Source organism: Homo sapiens, chromosome 1 (genome assembly GCF_000001405.40).
Source record: "Homo sapiens chromosome 1, GRCh38.p14 Primary Assembly".
In the NCBI taxonomy this organism is placed as follows: Eukaryota; Metazoa; Chordata; class Mammalia; order Primates; family Hominidae; genus Homo; species Homo sapiens.
Genome location: NC_000001.11, coordinates 22,579,832 through 22,604,103, shown reverse-complemented (window position 1 = coordinate 22,604,103; position 24,272 = coordinate 22,579,832). Strand labels below are relative to the sequence as shown.

The 24,272-nt window shown below is 57.6% G+C and overlaps 1 protein-coding gene across 8 annotated transcripts in view; it reads right to left on the bottom strand.

Annotated features, from left to right (window-relative positions):
* Positions 1–508: 508 nt before the first annotated feature.
* The window catches only part of EPHA8 (EPH receptor A8), a 40,107-nt gene continuing 16,343 nt past the window's right edge, over positions 509–24,272 (bottom strand). For 5 of the 8 annotated variants that reach the window (NM_020526.5, XM_011540969.2, XM_011540972.2 and 2 more), the window contains 14 exons: positions 17,469–17,624; positions 14,898–15,233; positions 10,654–10,778; positions 10,418–10,580; positions 8,781–8,874; positions 7,931–7,998; positions 6,628–6,792; positions 6,243–6,428; positions 5,892–5,953; positions 5,057–5,266; positions 3,294–3,443; positions 3,016–3,206; positions 2,631–2,804; positions 509–2,477 (listed from right to left, as the gene is read on the bottom strand). In NM_020526.5, the coding sequence (NP_065387.1) occupies positions 2,363–2,477; positions 2,631–2,804; positions 3,016–3,206; positions 3,294–3,443; positions 5,057–5,266; positions 5,892–5,953; positions 6,243–6,428; positions 6,628–6,792; positions 7,931–7,998; positions 8,781–8,874; positions 10,418–10,580; positions 10,654–10,778; positions 14,898–15,233; positions 17,469–17,624 (2,195 nt within the window). In that variant the 3' untranslated portion in view covers positions 509–2,362. Of the gene's footprint in view, positions 2,478–2,630; positions 2,805–3,015; positions 3,207–3,293; positions 3,444–5,056; positions 5,267–5,891; positions 5,954–6,242; positions 6,429–6,627; positions 6,793–7,930; positions 7,999–8,780; positions 8,875–9,083; positions 9,191–9,736; positions 9,900–10,417; positions 10,581–10,653; positions 10,779–14,482; positions 15,234–15,525; positions 15,605–17,468; positions 17,625–24,272 lie in introns of those variants that run through there. The other 3 variants (XM_011540975.4, XR_946576.3, NM_001006943.3) reach the window with 3 other exon arrangements.

Below are 24,272 nucleotides of genomic sequence, written 5' to 3'. Positions count from 1 at the left end.
GATGCTCGGACCCTGTCTTCCCTGTTCTGCCTCCCAGCACCCAGGTCTCCCAGTGCCCCCCCCCTTGATCCTGAGGAAGTTGTTCCCAGGAAATGTCCTTTCCCTGTGTATTCCTCTTCCAGGGGGGCATCTTTCTCCGCCAAGAGAACTCAAGGGCAGTGTCCAGCTGGGACTGGACTCTACGGTTAAGTACCATGTGCACCTCTTGGAAGAGAGAATTTGGGGCTGTGGGGTGCTTCCTAGCTGAGCCTGGGATTTGGGGTGTGACAAATCTAGGTTCTGATTCATCCCCCGGTCTGTCCTTGGCTTTAGGCAGGTTGGCTGAACCAAGACTCAGCTTCCCCGTATGTACAATCCATGCACTAATCCTACCTCCCCAGACAGATGAGAAAACCAGAGGGGAGAAAAATGAATGGGATGCAAACAGTAGGTGCTCAGTATGAGGCTGGCCCTTCCCCAACAGGAGATGTCAAGCTTTCAGAGATGGGGAAAAAATGGGGGACGCAGGCAAAGATGAGGCAGAATTTATTCTTATTGTGGGTAAGTTCAAGAGTCAGGATGGAGACCACAGAGAGGCAGATCCCCAGGACCCTGAGAGGGACCACACACTAGAGTGAGGGGCCACACTTTTGCAAGTGCCAGGCCCACGGTGCCTCCATGACTGTGAGGATCCAGAGCCCAGAAATTGGGTAAGAGTGGGGTGGGGTGGGGAGGAAGACAGGATCCCCCCCCCAGATCGTGTTCTGACCATGTTTCCGACTTCCATAGGAAGGAAGAACAGCTCGGCTATATAGTAATATAATATATAGAGGTGTAGAGAGCTGGCCGCGGCACCTGGATGGGGCTGAGACTCCCCGAATTATTGCAGGAGGGAGAGGGGGCTCAGTGCTGGTGTCCCCGCGGGATAGCTGTGCTGGCTATGGGGAGGGGGGGCAGGGCTGGGCAGCTGGGCTCGCCACTCCCTCTGGGGCTGGCAGGGGGCACACGGTGGGGTTCCTGCTTCCCTGCCTGCCAACGGCCCCCGGGATGGGGCTTTCTCACCCTGGGTGCTTTTTATGTGCTTTGAAGACCATTTTTGCATTGTCAGGAGTGAGGAAAAAATATTCTGACATGGTAGAAAAGAGATATTTACATACCCTGGTGGGCCGTAAGGGGGGAGGTCAGTGTGAGAGGGGAGGGGCTTCCAGGGCACTTCCACCCCCAGCGCCCTTGTGGGATGGTGTATGGGGACAAGAGCCTTGGCAGGAGGCCGGAGCCCCGACTCTGACACTTGGTTGCAGTGCAACCTGGGACGGGGCATCACCCCTCTCTCCAGGCCTTAGTCTCCCCATATGCTACAGGAAGGGGTGGGCTGGGTGCTGAGAAGATAGGATCCTCTGGTCCCTGATCCTAGGCCTGGGGGACAAAGGGCAGGTGTCAGGGCTGGGCATTGAAAGGTTGGCGAAGGGACTTTGAGTGAGGAGACCTGGGCCGTGGAGGGAAGGCATCAGAGGCTAGAGGAGGCTGCTGAGCCCCCGGCCCTGGCCAGGCAGCCAAGCCCAGCTGAGGACATCTCATGTGCTCTGCCATGATGCCTCCATGAAGGCGGCCAGCCGGACTGACCGGGAACCCTGTTTTCCTGTTGAAGCAGCGGTGAGAGCCGGGTGGAGGCTGCAGGTGGCCTCCTCGGCTAGAGGGAGGACCCAGACCTGAGATACAGCCGGGGTGGGCTCACCCAGGCAGAGACGAGGGTGGGCCTGGTGCTGGTGCAGTTCAGAAGTGGCCCCTGGCTCCAGCCTCCAGGTGTGGGGGGACGTAGGGGTGAGCCTCTCCCCCGCCCCCATGGGTGCTGGACCTGGCGGTGTCACACTGAGTTCCCTGCTCACACACCTCCTCATTCATGACACATCATCCACCATCACCCACATGTGCCTCCAGCCTTAACGGATAAGCACACGCTCATAACATGCACACGTCCATGCTGAGACCCGAAGGGGTGGACACACTTGATCACACACTGTTCACATGAGATCCCATGACCTTGTGAGAACACCCCCCACCACACACACACATGCACGCACACAGAGGCAGGCGAGTGATGTCCCTGTTGGACTCTGTGACGTGGAGGCCCCAGGCTCTGGAAAAGAGAAGGTGCCTGCCCTGGGGGACAGGTGTCCTCACCAGGGTGGCCACCAAAGGCCCCTTCCCAGGCGCCTGACCCCTGATAACTCCAGGTCCTGTGGCGAAGCCTTCAGCTCCTCCAGCACCTGAGAGGAGGGCAGAGGCCTGGGGCCGCCCTGCCTGCTGCCAGCCCCTCACGTCCTCTGCCGCTGGCATGACCTGGGGTGGGCTTGGTGGCTGCCTGGGCCCTGCTGGCTGTACATCAGAGGTGCCGGCGGGGCCCCTGGGTGCTGGTCAGCTGGGCCCGCATGGTCTGAATGCTGCCCAGGATCTTCTTCTGGTGGCCCATGAGGGTGATGCCCAGGGCGCGCACGTCCCTGTGAAGGAAGGGTGCTGCTGGCCAGCTGGGCCTGGGAGGCTGGGAGCCGCGCACGCAGCCAGGGCCATGGATCTGGACCTGTAGCCTCCCCGGCAGGGGTCCCCCCCCCTGCCCCCACACGCATGGGGCCCCAGCCCCACCCATCACTCACTGGGCGTTCATGCGTAGCACCATGCCCAGAGAGGAGTATCCGCCCGCAGCGAAGTGGTCTCGGTACCGGCCCATGCGGATGGAGTCCAGCCAGTCCCCCACGGTGAGGCCCCCACCGCCACCGCTGCCCCCTCGGAGGTCAAAGCAGCTCCGGACGAAGGCAGGGGGTGGGCACCTGAGGCACAGGGGCTCTTGGTAAGTGGCCAGAGGGTTCGGGAGGCTGGACCCCCAGAAGAAGCAGGCTGAGGAAGGGGTTCGGCAGGGCAGGGGCCGGGGGCCCAGGCTGGGCCTGGTCCTAGTGTCAGGGCCAAACTGTCCCAGGGACAGATCTGGGGCAATACTGGGAGGCAGCTGGGCCTCAAGGAGCTGGGGTGGGCACAAGGCACCTGCTGACTGTGGCGGTGGCCCTGAGACTCTCAGGGCTGCGGATGAGCGCATCGAGGACACTGACAATCTGGGAGAAGCGAGGCCGCTGCGCCCGGTCCTTGTGCCAACAGTCGAGCATGAGCTGGTGCAGGGCGTGGGGGCAGCCCATGGGTGCGGGCAGGCGGTACCCCTCCTCCACAGAGCTGATGACCTGCAGGGGATCAGCGCTGGGCTCAGCCGTCCCTCCCTGCACCCTGAGGCTCCACCGCCCGCGGACCTGCCAGGGCTTGGCACTCACATCCCGGTTGGTCATGTTCCAGTAGGGCCGCTCCCCATAGGCCAGCACCTCCCACATGACCACGCCGAAGCTCCACACGTCGCTGGCCGAGGAGAAGGTGCGGAAGGCGATGGCCTCTGGGGCCGTCCAGCGGATGGGGATCTTCCCGCCCTGCGACGGACACACAAGAGTTGAGGGGCTGCCCAGGCCTGGCAGGGTGTCCCCCGAGCCGTCTGAGTCAGAGAGCTAAACACTGGGGTCCTGTTTTCCAGTCCAGAGGGACAACACAGCCCCCACCGTCCCAGAGCACCTGTCCTGAGGGAGGCCTCACAAGAGCCGCTGTGGAGACGAAGGAAGGAGGGAGTGAGACGCCTGGTACAAGCAGATGCTCGGCCAATACCAGCCACAAGCCAAGGGGGCTCAGGGGCCACAGCCTAGTCGTTTTCTAACTCTTCCTCTTCCTTCTCTTCCCCCACTTCCTTCTCCTTTCTCCTCCCTTCCCTTCTTCCTTCCTCCCTTCTTTTCCTCTTCCCTTCCTTCCTTTCCTCATCCCTTCCTTCCTTCCCTTCTTCCTTCCTCCTTCTGTCCTTCCTTCCCTCCTTTCTTCTTTCCCTCCCACCTTCCTCCCTCCCTCCTTTCCTTCCCTCCTTCTTTCCTTCCTTCCTGCCTCCCTCCTTCCCTCCCTCCCTCCTCCTTCCTTCTCTCCTTCCCTCCTTCCTTCCTCCTTCTCTCCTTCCTCCCTCCCTCCCTTCCTTCCTCCCTCCATCCCCCCTTCCTTCCTCCTCCACTCCCTCCCTCCTTCTCTCCCTTCCCTCCTTCCTTCCCTCCGTCCCTCCTTTCCTCCTTCTCTCCTTCCTTCTTGTCCTTCCTTCCTCCCTCCCTCCCTCCCTCCCCCACTCCCTCCCTCGTCCCTTCTCTCCTTCCCTCCCTTCCTTCCTTCCTCCCCCACTCCCTCCCTCCTTCCCTTCCTCCCTTCCCTCCCCTCCTCTCCTCTTCCCTCCCCTCCCTTCCTTTCTTCTTTCTCCTTCCTTCCCTCCTTTCTTTTCCCTCCCCCTTCCTCCCTCTCTCCCTTCTTTCCCTCCTTCCTCCCTCCCTCCTTCCTTCCCTCCCTCCCTTCCTTCCCTCCTTCCTCCCTCCCTCCTTTCCTTCCTTCCCTCCTTCCTCCCTCCCTCCTTTCCTTCCTTCCCTCCCTCCCTTCCTTCCTTCCCTTCTTCCTCCCTCCCTCCCTCTCTCCACTCCCTCCTTCCTTTCCTTCCTTCTTTCTTTTGTTGTCACAGGATCCTTTCTCCATGCGAAACCTTACCCAGAGGCTGTGGGACAGAGGCTAAGGGAGGGCTCCTATTGGGGCCAGGGTGAAAACTGGCCCCCATGCACTCAGCTCCTGCCTTTAAGGCTGCCCCTAAGGCACCTCTAGAGAGGTCCAAATCCCCATGGAATGTGTTTGAAAACAGCTGGGTTTTAGGCAAACTTTAGAGACAGATGTGGAGTCTGGGTACAATTCGGGGAGATTCCAACCCTCCTGAAGTCTCCTGGTGAGTGACTGTGGGGACCAGCCCTGGGGTCTCCCCTGGCCACCTGGTGACAGAGGAAAGGCAGGCAAGGCTGTTCCCATTTCCCAGAGGAAGGCACTGGCGTGAAGAGGAGAAACAGGATGTGCCCCAGGTTGAGGGCCACCCCGAAACTGCCAACTTCATTCAGCTACTTGCAGAATGGTTGGGCCCTGGGTGCCACCGGCGCCATCTCCCCACTCCCCAGTCTAGCCGGAAGGAGTGTGGGCGACGCACCGTGGTGGTGTAGGCAGCATCCGGGTCGTCCTCCAGCACCCGTGAGAGCCCGAAGTCAGACACCTTGCAGACCAGGTTGCTGTCAACCAGGACGTTGCGGGCGGCCAGGTCTCGGTGGACATAGCCCAGGTCTGAGAGGTAGCGCATGCCGGCACCCACTCCTCTCAGCATGCCCACCAGCTGCATGATGGTGAACTGCCCGTCGTGGGTCTGCAGGGGGACATGGCTTGGACTTCAGGAAAGCCCGGCGAGGCGCCTGGTCCGTGAACAGGAACACCTCCCATCTGTAGGATGCTCTCGAGTTGAGACGGTGCTTTGCAATTTGCCAAGTGCGCCACTACTTCTGAAGCACTTTGCAGTTAAGGGTTATTCTCCTGGTCTCATTTACCCTCACAGCAACCCTGCGAGGTACGTGGGGCAGCAATGACTGCTTACCCATTTTGTGGAACGAGAGATGGAGGCCCAGAGAGGTTAAGCTCTGTGCCTAAGAGCACCCAGCAAAGAAACTGTGGGCAGGAGCTGGGAATCCAGCCGTCTCCACCACAGCCAGCATGCCCCCCAGCTGGGTGGGGCCTGGATTCCCACAGAGGCACCCCCCTCAGCCTGTGTGCAGGGCAGCAGGATCCCATGGAGCAGAGGGACTTTCATGCAATGGGGGCCGAAAGGCAGTTCGACTGGCTGAACTCGAAGACCTCCTCCCTATACCTGCCTCCTGTCCCCCGGCCTGTGGTGTCCAAGCCAGGGAGGGGGCTTAGAGGGCTTTGCACTATCTCCCAGCACCCAGACTGGACCTCCCTCCCCAAGCCCATGCAAGAGGCAGGGGTGGGACACGCACCCTCAGGAAGGTGTCCAGAGAGCCGTTCTCCATGTACTCAGTCACAATCATTGCCAGGCGGCCTGGGCGGGCAGTAGGGAGAGGGTGGCTCTTGGTTTGGGGCTCAGGGCTGCTGATCAGAGACCCCAGGAGCATACCACCATCTCAGGACCTGTGCCAGCACTGGAAACCCCAGGGTGCCTTGGGTTTCCACTGGGGTCCCAGGCTCTGGGCACCCCGAGTCATTCAGGGACCTGAACCAAGAGGACAGGGTCAGGTGGGGCAGAGCAGGATGGATGAGGGGATGGACCCAGAGGCCTCTCCAGGCAGGAGGGGCACTGCAGGGGGAGGCTGTCTTTGCCCGGCACCTACCACGGGTGACGACACCCTCGAGGCGGATGATGTTGGGATGGTCGAATTGCCCCATGATGGACGCCTCGCTCAGGAAGTCCCGCCTCTGTCTCTCCGTGTAGCCGGCTTTGAGGGCCTTGATGGCCACGGGCACATCCCGCTGCCCTGGCACCCGCAGCCTCCCGTAGCAGACTTCCCCGGAGTCTCCTGCAGGCCCCGAGAGGGGCAGGTGTGGAGGGAGGGCAGTGGGACCCTCAGACTCCCCCAGCCTCCCAGGCCCTTGGACCCCCTGGGCTTGCCAGACCCCTGGGTCACACGCTCCCTCTGCCCTGGGTGCCCCCACCTTGCCCTGGGTGCCCCCACCTTGCCCCATGCTGGCCCCGCCCTCACAACCCCTGAGACTCACCAGAGCCGATGATTTTCTCGATGTGGATCCTAGAGGCCTCGATCTCCCGAGTGAAACTGCGGCCCGCCCGGCCTGGCTCCTCGTAGGTGTGGGGTTCCGCATAGAACTGGGGCTCTGGGAGCTTTCCCGGGGGGTGATGCAGAGGCAGGAAGACAGGTGGGGGTGCTGAGGGGCGGGAGGAGGGCCTTCAGTGGGGCCCAGGAGAGATTGCTTTTTCCTGACATTCCCTGGGCCTGGGATGGGTCTGGGGTGGGGTGAGGGGTGTCTCTGGGAGTCTCTGGATGTGGTAGCAAACAACACGCACCCCATAAGTATTTCCCAAGTGAAAGTGGGGTCTCTGGAGTCGCTCTGGGGTTTCTATGGGGCTGTGGAGTCTCCAGTGAGTTCTGGGCATGTCTGTCATTTTCTGGGGTCACTTTTACAGTCCTTGAGATCTTTCTAAATTGTTCTGGAGTAGGGATGTAGCAAAAATAAGTTTTTGCCACAAGGGTCAACTTTGATTCATTGAAAATAGTTTCTGGCTGGGCGTGATGGCTCATGCCTATAATCCCAGCTTTTTAGGAGGCCGAGGCGGGCGGATCACTTGAGGTCAAGAGTTCGAGACCAGCCTGGACAACATGGTGAAACCTCGTTCTACTAAAAATACAAAAATTAGTAGTGCATGGTGAATGCTTGTAATCTGAGCTACTTGGGAGGCTGAGGCAGGAGAATTGCTTGAACTCCAGAGGCAGAGGTTGCAGTGAGCTGAGATTGAGCCACTGCACTCCAGCCTTGGCAACAGAGTGAGACTCTGTCTCAGAAAAAAAAAATAATAAAAAATAAAAAATAATAAAATAAAATAAAAATAAAAAGTAGTTAAGGAGGAGTCTGAGGCTGCACCCAGGCCTGGTGGGAATCAGCACCATGCTTGATGCTGTCTGCCACGGGCACAGGAGTGGGGTGTGGAGGGAGGCATCTCCAGATTCGCCTTGTTGTCTGGGATCTCTACAGGATCCTGAAAATCTCTCCGTAGTAGGGATTCTTGTCCAAGAGTATATGCACTCCCACCCCGAAATCATACAAATGTGTGCCCTTCCCTGGGGAGAGGATCTCTAGCATCCTGAATGGGGTCTGAGAGTCCAGGAGGCATGAACGGCGCTGCCCTCTGGGGCACCAGGTCTCTGTGACACCCTGGAATCTGCCTCTTGGGCTCTGGTTTTTTCACTGGGCACCTTCCTCCTTCCCATCTGTGCCACCCCCAGTCCAGCACTGGGTCCCCCTGTGGCCTTCCCTCTGCCCCAGACCACCGGGCCCCTGCACTCACCCTGTCCATTCTGATAGTGCATCTTCTCCTCGTCCGAGTCCTGGAAGGCCTTGCTGTAGCCACAGTGCCTGCAGAGGAGGGCACCGCCCTGCCTGAGGCCAGGCCACCCCTAGCCCGGGACCTGACCCCAACCAGGGAACGAGTCATGGCTTCTCTCTTCATGCCCCTTCCCCTGACAGGTCAGCTCCTGCTCCTTACAAAGTCTGCAGGGGAGAGTCCCTGACTCCAGGCTCTCAACCCAGCTAAACTGTGACCGCCATGATGGTCACAAGCACTGTGGGATCCTCAAAATGCCCTCAAGTCCACCTGACCCTCTTGGCAAAGTCTACAATGCTGTTAGCCCCATGTTATATGAAACCACCCTTGGTGGGGGCATTGGGAGATGAGGCTTCTGTGGCCAACTACATGGATGACCTTGGCCAGCCCCTTCTCTTCCCTGGGTCTCCATTTCTCCATCAGTTAGATGATCCTTACAGTTCTCATTGTCTGGGATCCCAAGCCCACACACTATCCTGTCTCCACCTCCCTCCAAAATGGAGTGGGAGAGGACAAAGTAACTGAGAGTATGGGCTTGAGTTTGACAGACCTAGGCTCATGTCCTAGCTCTGGCATTTATCAGCTGTGTGATTCTGGCAAGAAGACTAACCTCTCTGATCCCCAATTTACTCACCTGCAAAGTGAGGTCAGAATCTCTACATCACTGGCATGTCACTAGGTTAAATGAGGTGGTGTGTTTGTAAGTGAGCCAGCCCCAGGCACACGGGGACCACCGGCTCGGTGGGGCTGGGGGCAGGCAGGAGGTACGGTGCTTGAGAGGAGGGGCTGGGTGTGGCTGGGCCAGACCACCCACCTCTTCTTGCAGATGAGCAGGAGCAGAAGCACCACCAGGCCCGTGATGAGCGTCAGGCAGATCCAGACAATGGTCCTGGTGTCATAGCGGGGCCCTGCAGGGGAAAGCCAGGGTTGGGGGACCAGGCTCTCAGCCCTGGCCTTGGGCCCAGGGGTCTGGCAGACCTCTGAGCCTGCCTGGCTGTGACCCTGGGGCCAGTGGGGAGCCCAGAGCCATGAGCCAGCCCAGAGTCAGGGCGCAGGCCAGTTCCTCCTCTGTTCCCACCCCACCCTCTACTAAGCTTCCTCTTCAAGTTCGTGAGACCTGGATGCCCAGCTTCCTAATGCTGGTGCCGCTGCTTCTTGTGGCTGTGGTACCGGAGAAGAGTCGCGTGTCCTCTGAGCCAATAAATGCCTGTCCTCCCTGTTATCCTGACAGTGACAACACGGAGTGTGCTGAGAGCTGTACCTTCAAGCCCCAGTAAACCCTCCCCACGTCCCTTCCAGAGAGACCCCAGCACTATCTTCAGTTTTCAGATGGAAAGAGGCTCAGAGAACTCGAGGAATTGACTTGAGGCCACACAGTACATGGGATGGAGGGCTCAGGATTCCCATCTGGGTGGTCTCCAGGGGGTGCCAGGCCTACAAGCACTGGAGGCACTCAGACGCCCAGGGAGCGCCAGGTGGGCGGTCACTAGCTCTGCCCTACCTCCACCACGCAGTGGGTGCACATACAGGAGACCCTGACTCCGGCTGGAGATTGGGGCAGGAGGAGAGTGAAAGGGACAGCCTCGAAGTCAGAGGGTCCCAAATGTGACAGTGCCTGGGGATCACCGAGGACTTGTTAAAACCCAAATGGCTGGGCCCACCCACAGAGTTTCTGAAGGGCTGGGGTGAGGACTGGGAATTCGCATTTTTGGTAAGTCCCCAGGTGAGACCGATGCTGCTGGTCCCAGACCCTGACACTCATCTCAGTACCAGCCATGGTGTGTGGGGGGCTGTCACCATCTCTGCCGCCTCAGGCGAGCGACCGTCCTTCTCCTAACCTCGGTTTTTCATCTGTGCAAATGCTGACAGAGGCCGGGTGCAGTGGTCCATGCCTGTAATCCCAGCACTTTGGGAGGCCAAGGTGGGAGATCACCTGAGGTCAGGAGTTCAAGACCAGCCTGGTCAACATGGTGAAACCCCATTTCTATTAAATACACAAAAAAATTAGGCTGGCAGCAGTGGCTCATGCCTGTAATCCCAGCACTTTGGGAGGCTGAGGCGGGTGGATCACAAGGTCAGGTGTTCGAGACCAGCCTGGCCAAGATGGTGAAACCCCGTCTCTACTAAAAATACAAAAATTAGCCGGGTGTGGTGGCAGGTGCCTGTAGTCCCAGCTACTGAGGAGGCAGAGGCAGGAGAATTGCTTGAACCTGGGAGGTGGAGGTTGCAGTGAGCTGAGATTGCACCACTGCACTCCAGCCTGGGTGGCAGAGTGAAACTCTGTCTCAATTAAATAAAAAACTCCGACAACCCCACTTGGTAGGGCAAGGAGAGCAGAAATCCTGCATTGGCACTGGCTCAGCCTGCACTAGCTCTCTCCTCGGCCACCCCCCGACCCCAGGGTCCTGGCACCTGGGCTGCTCCGCGCCCACGCCCCCTCCCTGCACTCACGGGGTTTCCCGGTCTCCACCTCCATGGCCTGGCTGAAGCGGCCACAGCCTGCTGAGGTGCGGGCTCGGACCTGGAACACGTAGCGGGTGCCCGGCTTGAGGCCGGAGACGGTGGCTCTGGTGGTGACGGCCTTGAGGGTGGAGTAGCTCTGCATCTCCTTGTCCTGCCACGGGACGGTGGTCAGTGGGCCCTGCCCTGCTGGCCCAGCCCCTCCCACTCCGTCCTGCCCGTGGTACCTTCTCGTAGTACTTGATCTCATACTCCAGGATGATGCCGTTCGGCTGCTCGGGCTCCTGCCACAGCAGCGAGACGCTGGTCTGCCCCGCCCGCTCTTGACGGATCACCACCACCTGGGACGGGGCTGGGGCGGCCAATCCCGTCAGATGGGCGGAGGGGAGACAAGGCGTGGCCTCTCTCCCAACCCTTCCCAGGTTCCACCTGGGGATCCTGGTTCCAGCCCTGCTCAGCTTCCTGATGGTCCTGCCCCAGCCCCAGGACAGCCAGCACCCTCCAGTTCTCCCAACAAATCGCTGGTGGCCACTTGGGGTCAGTCCCCTGGGGTTGGCGTGGCCTGGCATGGTCTGGGATGTTGGGGTTGGCTTGGACAAGAAGACGCTTGAGCCTCCCTCCCCAGCCCAGGGCCCGGCATGGACCAGCTGCTTGGGAGTGCTTGAGGAAGGAGGAAAGGTCAGGAGAAAGAAGTGTAGAAAGAATGGAGGAACTGGCCCCTCACTGCCTGGGTTTGGAGGGCATACCTGGGACAGTTCTGGATGCTGAGGGAAGGGGGTGAGCTGAGCCCCAAGTATTCTCCCAGTCACACTTGGTTGCCCGCCCACCCCTCCCTCCTTGACGGCGTCACCCATGCCTTTCTTCATGCATCTCTCCCTCCTGGCTCAGGTGCGGTCAGCCCTGTGGGGAGGCTGCTAGGAGGTGTCAGACACAGCCACGCCACAGCCAAACAGAGGGAACTGCCCTGTCCTCCCTGCCCCTCCAGCCCTCAGGCCTCCTCCTCCCCTCTGCTCACCCCGAGTTCTGACTCTCTGCCCTATGTGACTAAGTCTTCCCTCATGTCTGGGCATCCCCAGCACAACCGGGAGCTCCCTGGGGGCAGGGACTGCACACAGTAGGTGCCCAATAAATGCTGCTGAGGATTCTGGCATGAGAAATTAAGAAGCAGCTCCAGAGTTGCACTGGAAGGGTGTGGTCCAGGGGAAAGCCCACCAGTCTGGGAGCCAGGCGTGGGTTCGGGACTTGGCTCCCTCTCTTGCTAGCTGGGACCCTGGGTGAGTCACTTGCTGTCTGCGGACACCAGGTCCCCTTCTATAAAGTGAAGCTAGTGAGCACCACTTGCCAGGGGGAGGGGAGGATTCGATGAGGCCACTGTTTGCAAGGGACACACAGGGTGTGTCTCTTAAAAACCAAGGCAGGAGGTGCTGTGGGATGGGGGCAGACAGAGTGAGACCAGGGCCCAGAGCGGGAGGGGAATGGGGTTCGCGTCCGAGAGGGCTCCAGGGAGGAGTTGGTTGTAGAGAAGTGGTGATGGTGAGGCAGGAGGGGCAGGTGGTCTTTGAGCACAGTCCTCCACATTTGCTTAGAGCTGTCGCTTGATCCTCTAGGACTCCTGAGTGCCTATCACATGCTGGGCACGGGGCTAGGAGCCGGGAACTCTGCAGTGCCCAAGACATCCCTCTAGGAGCTTCTGTCCCAGGAAAGGAGACAGGGCGTCCAATAAACAGGAGAATGGGGGTTCTTTTGGTGCTGGGAAAGGTAGGAAGGGGTGCTGTCTGTGATGGAGAAGACCACTGCAGGGCCCGGAAGGGCACTGGCACGTTTCAGCTGAGGTGGTCGGGGGAGCTTCCAGGGCAGAGGAGCCAGGCATAGGAATGTCAGGGGAAGAGTGAGTCATTCCGAAGGAGAAGCCAGGCCACGGCCTAGCAGCAGGGAAAGACCCAGTGTGTTCAAGGAGGGGGCACCGGAGACCATCATGGCCAGAAGAGAGTGAGCCAGGGAAAGAGGTGCTCTGGAGAGGCAGGCAGGGGTGAAGCTGTGTGGGTCCACAGGCCATGAGAATGTCTGAATTGCATGTGCGCTCAGCCTAGGCTGTGAAGGGCTTTGAGGACAGCTTGTTCTCATGTATTTTCATCTAAAAAACTTGGGGGGCGGTGGTGCTGGGCATGGTGGCTCATGCCTGTAATCCCAGTACTGTGGGAGGCTGAGGCAGGAGGATCACTTGAGCCCAGGAGTTTCAGATCAGCCTGGGAAATATAGGGAGACCCCATCTCTACAAAAAAAAAAAAATCACTGGGCATGGTGGTGTGTGCCCTTGGTCAGCTACTTGGGAGGCTGAGGTGGGAGGATCACTTGGGCTCCGGAGATCAAGACTGCAGTGAGCCGTGATTGTGCCACCACACTCCAGCATGGGTGACAGATAGAGACATTGTCTCAAAAAAAATTTTTTTTGTAGAGATGGGGTCTTGCCATGTTGCCCAGGCTGATCTCAAACTCCTGGCCTCAAGTGATCCTCCCGCCTTGGCCTCCCAAAATGCTGGGATTACAGGCGTGAGCCACCACACCCAGCCCTCACTTCTATTTTTAAAGCTCACTCAGGACTGGTGTGGAGAATGTCTTGTGGGGGTGAGGCAAGAGGGGTCTCCTGTGGTGGTCCAGGCATGGACTCGTGGGGGGTGGAAGTCAGTTGGTCATTTTGAAGGGAGGTCCCTGGGGCTTTAGGGGGGGATGGATGTGACATGCATGAGAGTCAAGGATGACAGCTTGGGTCTGGAGGTGCCATGTCCTAGGGCGGGGCAGGTGCAGGTGTGGCAGGGTTGTTTGTTTTTCACATAACCGAATGGAGACAGGAGTGGGCAGCTGGGTCCTAGGGGAGAGGTCTTCGCTGGTGACCGCGAGTTGGGGGTTGTTAGCACAAAGGTGGAATTCAAAGTCATGGGCCCTGAAACAGCCGCCCAGAAAAGATGGATCTGGGCACACAGGAAAGAGAGGAGGGCCCAGGACATTCCCAGGGACCCATGGCCTTTAGAGGCCATTTAAAGGAGGTGGGGCTACAAAGACAGAGAGGGACAGGCCACACAGGTCAATGGAAAATGGGCGTGGGCTGGGACACACGAGCAAGAGAAAAGTGTTTCCAGGAGGAGGAAATGAAAGGGGGAAGAGGCGCCCATGGATGTGGCCACGCAGGGCTGCTGATTTCTGTGAAGAGGTGAGGAAAGACATGGAGAAGTCCCGCAGAGGAGAGGAAGAAGTAGATACGCCAGGCACGGACAGAGAGGGTCGTATGGGAAGAGAAATGGTCTGGTGACCGGAGGGGAAGGCAGGTTCAAGGCAGGGTCTAGTTTCCTCTTTAATGTTGGGGCATCCCGGATGCTGCCTGAATGCTGTGAACTTCTCTTGCTCTCCCCTCCACTTGGGACCAGCCTGCCAGGGGCCTCAGGTGCCTAGAGACAGGTGGGCCAGGGCTGGGCTCTACCACGGGGCACATAGCTCACTCTCTCTCTGTGTTGCCAGCACCTGGCACCACACTTGGCATTTAGTGGGTGTTCCACGAGGGCTGTCGAATGAGGGAATCTTCTGAAGGGCTGAGGCCCTGGCGTCAGGGAGCAGCATGCCCTAGATTCAGAGTGGGGGGACCTGCTTCACTTGGGAGTGACACAGACCTGGGTTTGAGCCCTGCCTCTGCCACTTCCTATGTCAGGTGGCCCTGGGTGCTCTCCAGGCCTCAGTTTCTTCCTCTGTGACGTGGTGGGCATATTGTCTGCGAGGCCAGGGCTGTGTGGTTTTGGGAGGAGATGGTGGGTGGGGGCCTGAGGGTCTTGGGCACAGGTGAGGGTGGCTGTTAATAGGAAGCTGCCCTAGGAGGGCTCTTGGGTCACGCTGTCACTTGACGGGCAGGGTCCTCCAGAGTTTGGGAAGAAAGAGGTTCCGGGGGTGAATTCAGCCCACCAACTGGCCAGAAACTGATAGATAAACTACTGTGGTCCAAGCCAGTGCAGCCAAGTCTATCCCAAGGGCAGCTGTAGCAGCTGTTCTGGAAAATGATCATCCGAGTGATTTTATTTTTTAATGACATTTATTGAGCATTTACCACGGGCCAGGTGCTGGGCTAAGCAATTTCATTCCTCTCATTTAAGCCTCCTGAGAGGACCTCAGGCAGGTACTATTATTCCCATTGCACCAGGGAGGAAACTGAGGCACAGAGAGGGAAAGTTCTGGAACCTAGGCTTTCGACGGCCACACTAGCCTGCCTCTGAGCTTTTGGGATTTCTCTTACTTATAGAATGTGTTCCACTTTTCTAAAGGCAATGAAGAGCCTCCAGCTCTGGGTCCTGGTGAGGAGCGCAGGGCCAGAGAGGCACTTGCCTAAAGGCCCACAGCACGTCCCCGGCAGAGCTCTGATCCCTGGATGGGTCTGAGGCAGGGGAAGCTGGGGGACCAGGACGCTGCGGGACGGAGTTTCTCCGCCTACCTGCCTGGTTCGTGGTGATGTTGACCACAGCGGCCCGGCGGGGCTCGGGGCTCAGGTCGGACACGCCATTGACGGCCTCGATCCAGAAGGAGTAGTTCATGTGGGCCAGCAGGTTGGCCACCAGCAGGCTGGCCTGCACCAGGCTTGTCTGCTGGGGCACAAAGCGGGTGCCGCTCCCACATGCCTCGCAGCGGCTCAGTGCCCAGGGGCAGCGGCGGCACACGGCATTGTAGGTGATGTCACTGCGGCCACCTGGGTCCAGGGGAGGGGCCCACTCCAGAGTCACTGATGTCCCATTCACACTGGAGATCAGGTTCACTGGTGCCGAGGGTGGCCCTGAGGGCAGAGGATGACAGATGGGGCAGTGGTTATTTATTTGGGCTGTCCTGTCTTCCTATCATCAGACCTGGGGCTCCCCAAGGGAAGGGCTCCCCATCATATTTAGGGCTCCTTAAGGATAAGGTCCACATCTACTCCATCCTCTGTAGCCTCCCCAAGGGCAGAGTTTGTGTCTCTGCCATCAGACCGGGACCACAATGTCAGAGTCTGGGCACAGAACCCTGGGACCCCATCCCCCCCACCCATCAGGACCACCATGATCCAAGGGTCTGGACATCCCACTGCTCACCCAGAGTGGGAGAGAGACCGCACAGTCCCGGGGGTGCCCACAGCAGCCACCCTGTGTGTAAGTGACCCAGGTATTTGCAGCCACATCTATTCCTTGACCCTTCTGTGCCGGATCCGATACAAAATGCCACTGAGCACGCACTGTGGAATTAAGTGGAGGCCCCCAGAAGCCCACCGTGTATCCCCATGGCTGTGTGCACCAAGCAGCCGCTCCCCAACCCCGGGCATGGGAGCCTCTGTCTGGGCAGCACAAAGACTTTGGAGAGAGAGGGGTGACCCCTTGGTTGAGGAGACCAGGACGTGGGGCTGGGGGTCTGAGGGGCTGGGGTGGGGGTTTGAGCCAAGAGGGCATGGGGGTCTGTGGGGACCCCTGGCCTCAGAATTCCAGTTCTCAGAATTCCAGGCAGAGAATCTTAAATCTTCAGAAAATAGAATTGTAAGATCTTGGAATCAGAATCTTACAATTTGAAGAGAAGAGAATTTTTAACATCGGAAGGGTATAGAATACTAAAAGCTCAGCCTTTACGATCTTAAGCTTTCCAGAACCTAAAGGCACTGAACTGTGGGTTTGGAAAGAAACCAGAGTCCAGCCAGCTTCACGCAAGTGTCCATGACCTGGGGCCAGACTCGACTTGCCTGAGGTGCCCACGCTGTCACCTGGCCACCTTTTCTGCCCCAACAGGTCCCACATGTGGAAAATGCACAGATCTGGGCAGGGCAGTGGAGGGAGGGTGGGTGTGTGTGTCTGTGTGTATGTGCACAAGCATGTGGGCATGAATGCACCTGGGCCCTCGCCTGCCATGTGCAGGGAGGCTGGGGCTGGGTGGTGATGGATGTATGGGAGCGGGAGATGGGGGCTGATGCTTGGGCAGATTCAGAGCAAAATCAGAACAGTCTGAAGTGCCTCTTGCCCTACCACAAGAGCCCAGGGTTGGCAACTGGGCTGGGCTGAGCAGGCTGTGGTCCCTCCCCAGGCCTGGAATGGGAGTATGAGTGGCCCGTTAGGACACATGAGAGGAGAGAATCCAGGCGCTGCATCAGCAGAAGGTAGGACAGTCACGCAGCCCTGCAGGCATGGGTGCAGAATCCCCCCATACCTTCAGGTCCACAGGGCACGTGCACATGCAGCCACACCCTCTCCAGGCACATGCACCCTTGCAGGGCCAGGTGTGCACACGCACACACACACGTGCTGAGCTCACAAGACACCCTCATTCAAGCTTTACAAGGACTTCTGAGTCCCCTTCAGGTACCCAGATGTACACACACACACACCTCCTCCTAAGAATCCTTAATATATGTGACGAATCCTTTATATATGTGAGCTCAACTACACGTCACACATTTACATGCAGGCATCCAAACACGATACAGGCGTCGTCTGTAAGAGCAGCTGCTCACACAGACACACGCTAACACACAATCACTGCAGGGCCCCAGGGCATACACAGAATCAGATATTCGAACTCCATGGGTACACACACATATGCACACACACCATACACATGTAAGGCAGCTCTCAGCATTCAGCAGTTCCAACAAGTTCATCAAAGATGATGGTGATGGAAGGGTTGCTGCCCTAACCCTCACCCTCTCCGCACAGGCGAGCACCCTGGCTTGCCCACCTGGCCCCCAGGACATCGGCATCGCTGCTAGATCAGAAGATGACAAAAACTGCCCGATGTGGGGAAAGAAGTGAGGCCAGCTCCATTCTGCCCTCCAGTGTAGGTGACACAGGACAGAGGCTGGGAGCCCAGAGAGGTCTAGGCCACCGTGGAGGGATCAGAGTCACCCCCCCCACCTCAGACTGGCCTCTGGCTCAAGAGAGCCACCCGCCCCTGCCCCACCAGCAGAGAACTGGCTCTCTGAGGCCTGGAGGACCAAACACAGGGGCCCGGCCCAGTCTTGGGCTCAAGGGTACTGGCATCTCGGAGTGGTACTCACGGGTGCAGGCTGAGGACGGCGGGTCCAGGGCTGCACGGTAGTAGCTGAGGTCACAGTGGCAGGCTTGGGCGGCTGGAGCTGCGGAGTGGCTGTGGGGAGGGCAGCGGGCACACAGCTGGTCCCCAGGGGCTGACTTGTAGAAGCCCAGCTCACAGGCTGTGGAGGAGAAGGCGGCTGCACATGAGCCAGCAGGGCCACCCTGGCTGGCCTTGGGGACCGCTCACACTGTGGCCCACAGCTTCCTGGGGGGTGCCCCAGAGGGATGGAGGTGCAGACCTTCACACTGCCCAGTGCTGCCCTCATTTGCAGAGGGCAGAACTGAAGTGCAGAGGGGGCCTGTGTCTTCCACAGGGTTCCACAGCCAGTCAGGGCAGAGCTGAGGTTCAGACCCTGACATGGGAGTCCCAGCCTCAAAGTGAGCCCCACCCCTGAGCATCTCCAAATTCCCCAGCCCTCCTCTAATTGACCCCTCCCCCAGGCCCTGTCTCCAGCTTTAGGGGTGGAGATGCTGTCCTTCTCTCTTTTATGGGACACTGGTTCTTACGTGGGACGCCAGCCTAGGGGCCAGGGCCATGGGGCTGAGGATCAAATGCCCCGGAACTGACTTGGGTGGGATGAGGAAGCAGGCCAGGGATGGGGGTGCTGGGAATGCGACTAGAAAGGGGGGGGACACCTGGTAAGACCCATTGCTCCCAAACACAGGCAGACATGGAGCCACCTCCATAAAAATACAGATTCCTGGCCCCACCACAGACAGCTGAGTTAGAAGAGCCAGGGCCGGTACCTGGGGTCTGTTTTACAAGCCCCCATGGGAGGGTGACTATCCAAGAAGCGCAGGCTTCTCCCCTCCCAGGCCCACACTGTCACTGTCCCCGTCACTGTGGCTGGGACTGACCCTCTCTCCAGCCACTGCCACACCCTACCTCATCTCTCACCCACAGCAGCCTGCAGACTTGGCTTCCAGCCCTGCCTCCCCCCACCCAGCTGCCTGCGTGATCATGCATTCAGTCAACCACTGTTCATGAGCACAACTCTGGACCAGGCCTGTTTGGGCCTTGGAGGGCTGTGAACCAGAGCCACTGGCTCTCAGCTGGGATCACTGCTAGGAGGGAGGGAGAGAACAAGGGGGCTAAGGTGATGGAAGGGTAAATGGTGGGAGGAGCTACTTCCCAGAGGAGGAGATGATATTTGAGTTGTGGCCTAAAGAATAAGGAGTCCACTGTGCAGGGAGGGGGATACCCTAGGTTGAGGGAGTCTCCAAAATGCACATCTCACTCAGTCACTGCCTGTTTCATGCCTCACAGGCTCCCCAGGGCTTAGACAATGAAACCTGGTGTTCAAATCCCTCCCTGCCCAGCCAAAACCCACTTGGAGCCTTGTTTAGTGCTGCCCCTCACCCCCATCCTTAGGCCAAACTAAAGCACTGGCCGATCCCCACACCCAGCAGTCTGATTCCTGCCTCGGGGCCTTTGCACAGGCTGTGCCCGCTTCCTGGGCTGCCTTTTCTCCTCTGTCCACCTACTGAGCTCCTCTTTTAAGATTAATTTTGACTGTCCCTTCTGGAACTCTAGACACACGCGTGCGCACACACACACACACACACACACAGAGAAACGACCATTCCCCGCCCTGCTCCTGCGGCCCCTGCTTGGCCTCACCACCTGCAACACTATGGCTGTACTCGCTTGTCAGTGCTGACTCTCCTTCTAGACTGGGAGGCCCCCGTGGGCAGATCCTTGCAAACAGAGTACGACTCCCTTATTCATCTCAATGTCCCAGAACCTGGTCCAGTGCTAGCCCTGGGCAGATGCTGTTAAACTCCAGGCAGGAGTTTTCAAATTGAATGGATCCCACCATTATCTGCTCTGGGCAGAGACCCCAGAGGTTCAGGTGGGCCAAATGCCACCCAGCCAGGCAGCTCCCGGCTCCGTCCATGGAACTGAAGTCCTTTGCAACAGGGACCACTGGGAAGCTCACTGTGGTTCTCTCTCCACTAAATCCTGTTCTGGAAAACTCAGTGCCTGAGAGAACCTTCAATTACAAAGACATCAGGCCACTGCAGAGCATTTCTTCTCTGGATGTTGATCGTATCTCTTTATTACAAAAGCTAAAACCAGGTTCATTTGTAAAATTCTACAAACTTGAGAGAAAACCTGGAGTCAGGAGAAATGGTAACGCCCTGAAGTTGCTTCATACTCTAGAAGGCTGCAGAGCCAGAAAGAGCTTGTAAGTTGCAGAGTGGGGGAAAATACGCACCATTGTTGCAACATCTTTCCCTCCCCTCCAGAGGATCCCAAGAGGGCTCTGGTCTGCCTGGGGGCTGAGCTCAGGTCTAGGAGCTCGGAGTCGTGAGGAGTCTTGACTGACACACTGTGATCTCGCCTCCTCTTCCCAGAAGCCCCCCGGGAGGCTCAGTCCTGGGGCACAGCCTTGGGCACAGGCTCCTTCTGAGCCCCGGGGGCCGCTGGGGGTGGCATCATCAGAAAAGGGCTTTGCATTTTGTCAGCAAATATTTGTTGAACCTGTTACTGAGCTGAATGACAGTAATCCTCACTGTAATGATCCAATCCACAACGATTAGCATCTCAGAGACCATTTGCTTCTTCCCTCCCTCATTTATTCCTTTCCCCAACATTTACTGAGCTTCTACTATGGACCCAAGAGAAGTAAGAGCTGGGCCTGCTCTTAGGGAGCTTCCACGGCATTGGCAGACGGACAGGCAAAGCCTCATGGCGTGATGCGGGGCCTGAGGGAAGCCAGCACCACGGCTGGCCCTGCAAGTCTCTGACCCTTTCCAGGGCCCACCTGGTCCTTGTCAGGCCCGAGCAGAAGCTCGGGTGTAGCACCTGGGTTCCTGTCCTCGTCTAACCCCCTTTATCTGAGCTCAGTGACATTAGGCAAGGTGCTGGAAGTCAGTTTCCTCGTCTTTAAGGTGGAGATCATAATTCTACCCACCTTAGAGGGAGATGGCAAGCATGACATGAGTGAAGACACATAAATTCATGCCAGGGCAGTGCCTGGCACTTGTTGTTATAACAATTTGATGTAGTTGGAATTCTTACAATTGTTCGACAGAAGAGGAAACAGAGGCTCAGGGAGCCTGAATGCCTTGCCCCAGGTTCCCAGCAGAGCCAGAATGTGCAGTCAGGCGGGGGAGCCTCTGGAGCTATGGCCTTTCCCCCCGTCCTCCCAGCACCGTCCCAGAGCTGAGAGATGGCTGCGCCGCTGTGGCTCACCAGTCGGCAGTTCTCACACACTCGGCTAATACCCATATGGCTATAATGTGTCAAGGCCAGATTAATCCACGCAATGAAAATAAAATAATCTTTAATAAGAATACTAATCACCAGGCCTCAGGGAGCCCAGAGACCTGGAGGCTGGGCCGGGAATTAATGGCTGAGACAGATGGAGTGGCTCTGGGCTGGGGCCCGGCCCTGCCTGTCGACCCAGGGTGCTTCCGGAGCCTGCACGTGCCCGGGTGTTGGGCCGCGAGCCAGGAGGGGCTCCTGACCCTGCTGAGGGCACCTTGCCCAGGCCGCCTGTCAGGCCAGCAGCTGCCTGTGGCCCTGGCCACCTCTCTGCTCTCCCCCGCAAAGAGCCGGAGATTTGACAAATAAGGTGTCCGCTGGTGGACAACCAAAGGAAATTAATTCTAAATCAGATTTTAAACACAGTCAGGAAGGCAAAAGAGCTCACTGTTCCTGCTCCCCCTCCGAAATGAGACTCTCTGATATTTATAGAAAGATGATTAGGGCCGCGAAGGGTGATTTATATTCTGCGTCCAGGTGACAGGAAGGACAGCAACCAGGACTTCAGACTCTGAGCTGCTGCTCCGCTGGGTGATGCGCTGAGAGGCCCTTCCTCTTTCTGGGGTGAACCAGGGTGCGGGGGGTGCTGGGAAGTGCAGTCTGGTGTGGGGAGGTCACTGGATCCGGAGTTGTGGAGTGTGGGGAGCTTCCTCTGGGCAAGGAGTTGGGAGATGTGAGATTCTATCAACCACCCCTCGCTGTGTGCCCTTGGGCTAGTCACTTCACTTCTCTGGGCCTCCAATTCCCCAGTGGTAAACTGGACGAACCCCACATGGCTCTGACATTTTTCCATGGGTCTCTTGAGGTCTGAGTGCAATCTAAGCAAGGCCTCTAAAGAGCCATGTGACCTGGCGGGTCCCTTATCCCAGGCTATACTGTCTTCTGCAAAATCAAGTACTGCCTGGCCACCTTCTGAGGGTACCTCTAAGGGCAAAACCCAAGGCAGGGAGGGCAGCTGTTGAAGGGGGCCTGGCCCCTGCTGTGGGTCTCAGGCTCTCAACCCCTGCTCCTGTCACTAGAAGGACAAGGGCTCAGGACTGGGCAAGCTGAGACCCCCTGACTCCACGCCCTTCCTCTCCTTAACTGTTTGCTGAGAGAACTGCCCAGAAGGGATCAGGATGTTCTCAAACCAGGCAGGGGCCCCATGGACCTCAGCAGGTCTCCTGAAGACTCCCTCAGGCTGGGCAGGGGCAGTCCCAGATTGCAGAAGACATCTCAAGTATCCCAGGAAAGGTACCCCACTCTGTTCCCAGCCCTTCCTTTGCCCCAGGCCATCCACCAAGGAGCCGGGCAGCTCCAAAGAGGTCAAGGGCTTCTCCAGGGGTAGAAAGGGGGACCAGGCAGGGCTCTTGGACCTGGCTCCCATTTGTGAAAGGCCTTAGTTTGAGACCCGTGCTGACCTTCCCAAATGAGGTTACGCAGCCAAAGAAGCCACCAACGGGGCTGAGAAATGTCTTTCCTTGTGCGACTTAAAACGGGCTTTCCGTTCCCAAATCTCACTGCCTGCAGTGCACTATGAATTAATATTTTTTATAAAACCTGTAATTATCTTGCAACTGGCATAATTACGTTGTATTATTATTTAAATGTAAAATTCAAAATATGCTGCAATTCCCTAACCCCACTTTGGCATTTCTTTTTATTTGTTATTAATGTGGCAGCAGTGCCAGGAAATAGGAGTGGCCTTGGCCTCTCCCAGCCCCCGTGAGGTCCTGCCACTCAGGCCCTGGGGTTTCCACTCAGAGCCCCACCCCTGATGTGCTGAGAAAATTGGGCAAGACATATCCCCTCTCTGGGCTCCGCTTCCCTCTTCTGCCACACAGGGAGACTGCAGCGTTACCTGAGACCTCCAAGCGAGGTCTTGACCCCAAAGACAGGAGGGCAGGTCTTCTTCCTACAGACAGATGTGGTTCAGTTCACCTGGGACAAATAATTGGCATATTTGTACTCGCTGGCTAAATCCAGACTTGGGGACGGTGGCCGACCCTGAGTGCGTATGCACCGGCCAACCAGCCAGATTGTTATGACTTATGCTGTACCAGTTGCTAACCATCCATCCGAATGCTACCCCAGGGAGGAGGGAAGTGGGGCTTTGCAGAGGGCTTTGTGCACAGAGGAAGCAATTGAAGGTGCTGGAGTCAGGCAACCTGGGATCAGATCACTACTCTGCTACTTAAGTTGAGGGACCTCAGTTTTTCTTATCAGTAAAATGGGACTATAATACTTATCTTAAAGGACTGTTGTAAGGATAAGAAATTGCTAAGTCCCCAGAGGCAGGGACTCCCTGTACCTGTATCCCCAATGCCGGGACACAGTAGATGCTCAGCAGAATGGATAATTATTACATCAAAGACGAAAAATCATCACTAAGGTCCTTCATTAGCCCCACCTGAATGAGGGGAGGTTTGGCGCAGCTCTGGCGGACAAAGCAGCCTGGGGCAGGCTAGGGAGACGCTAAAAGCCTGTACCTGGCTCAGAGCAATACAGACCTGTCTTCAGGCTCCAGCTCTCACTAGCTGTAAGGCCTAAGCAGGTAACACTACCTCTTACACCTCAGCTTCCCCATCTGTAAAATGGAATTGTGATACCTGCCTTGCTGCAATGAGCAAATGAGCTGGTATGTGATGCGCCCCGCTATGAGCTGTGAAGGCAATAGGGGTGTTGGTTGTTTTTCTTCCCAGTGCAAAGCTGACACACAGGGCTGTCTGTGATAGTAACCATGAGAGCTTGTGGCCTGGGGAGCCTGGCAAACCAGGCTGCAGAGGGCAGAACAAATCCAGAAATGGGCAAATGCCACAGAAGGTGCTTTGGGGTTTAGAGCTCGGGACAGGAGAAGACTCATAGAAATTGGGGATGTGAAATGAGATTTCTTAAGAAAACCAGAGAGCGAGTTGGACGTGGTAGCTCAAGACTGTAATCCCAGCACTTTGGGAGGCCGAGGCAGGCGGATCACTTGAGGTCAGGAGTTTGAGACCAGCCTGGCCAACATGGTGAAATCTTGTCTCTACTAAAAATACAAAAATTAGCTGGGCGTGGTGGCGGGCACCTGTAATTCTAGCTACTCGGGAGGCTGAGGCAGGAGAACCGCTTGAACCGGGAGGCGGAGGTTGCAGAGAGCTGAGATCACCCCATTGCACTCCAGCCTGGGCAACAAAAGTGAAAACTCCGTCTCCAAAAAAAAAAAAAAAAAAAAAAAAAAAGAGAAAGAAAGAAAACCAGAGAGCCTCCGGGAAGGGCTTCAAAGGGCCTAGTGGCTGCAGGGAAGATCCTGGCCCCAGAGATCTCTGGGCAAGACGGCTCCTAAGTGGAGCCAGCTGGACTCCATCCCCACCTGTTATCACCTGAGGCTGTCAGCCTATGTCATGCCCAGTCCTATTAGCGCTCAGGGGCCTTTCCTGCCTGCCTGCTGGGGGATGGGTGATGAGGACTAAAGGTCCCTCTCACTGTGGCCCCAGGGCCTGTATAGTAGCAGCAAAGGGCTAGAAGCATATTCCCA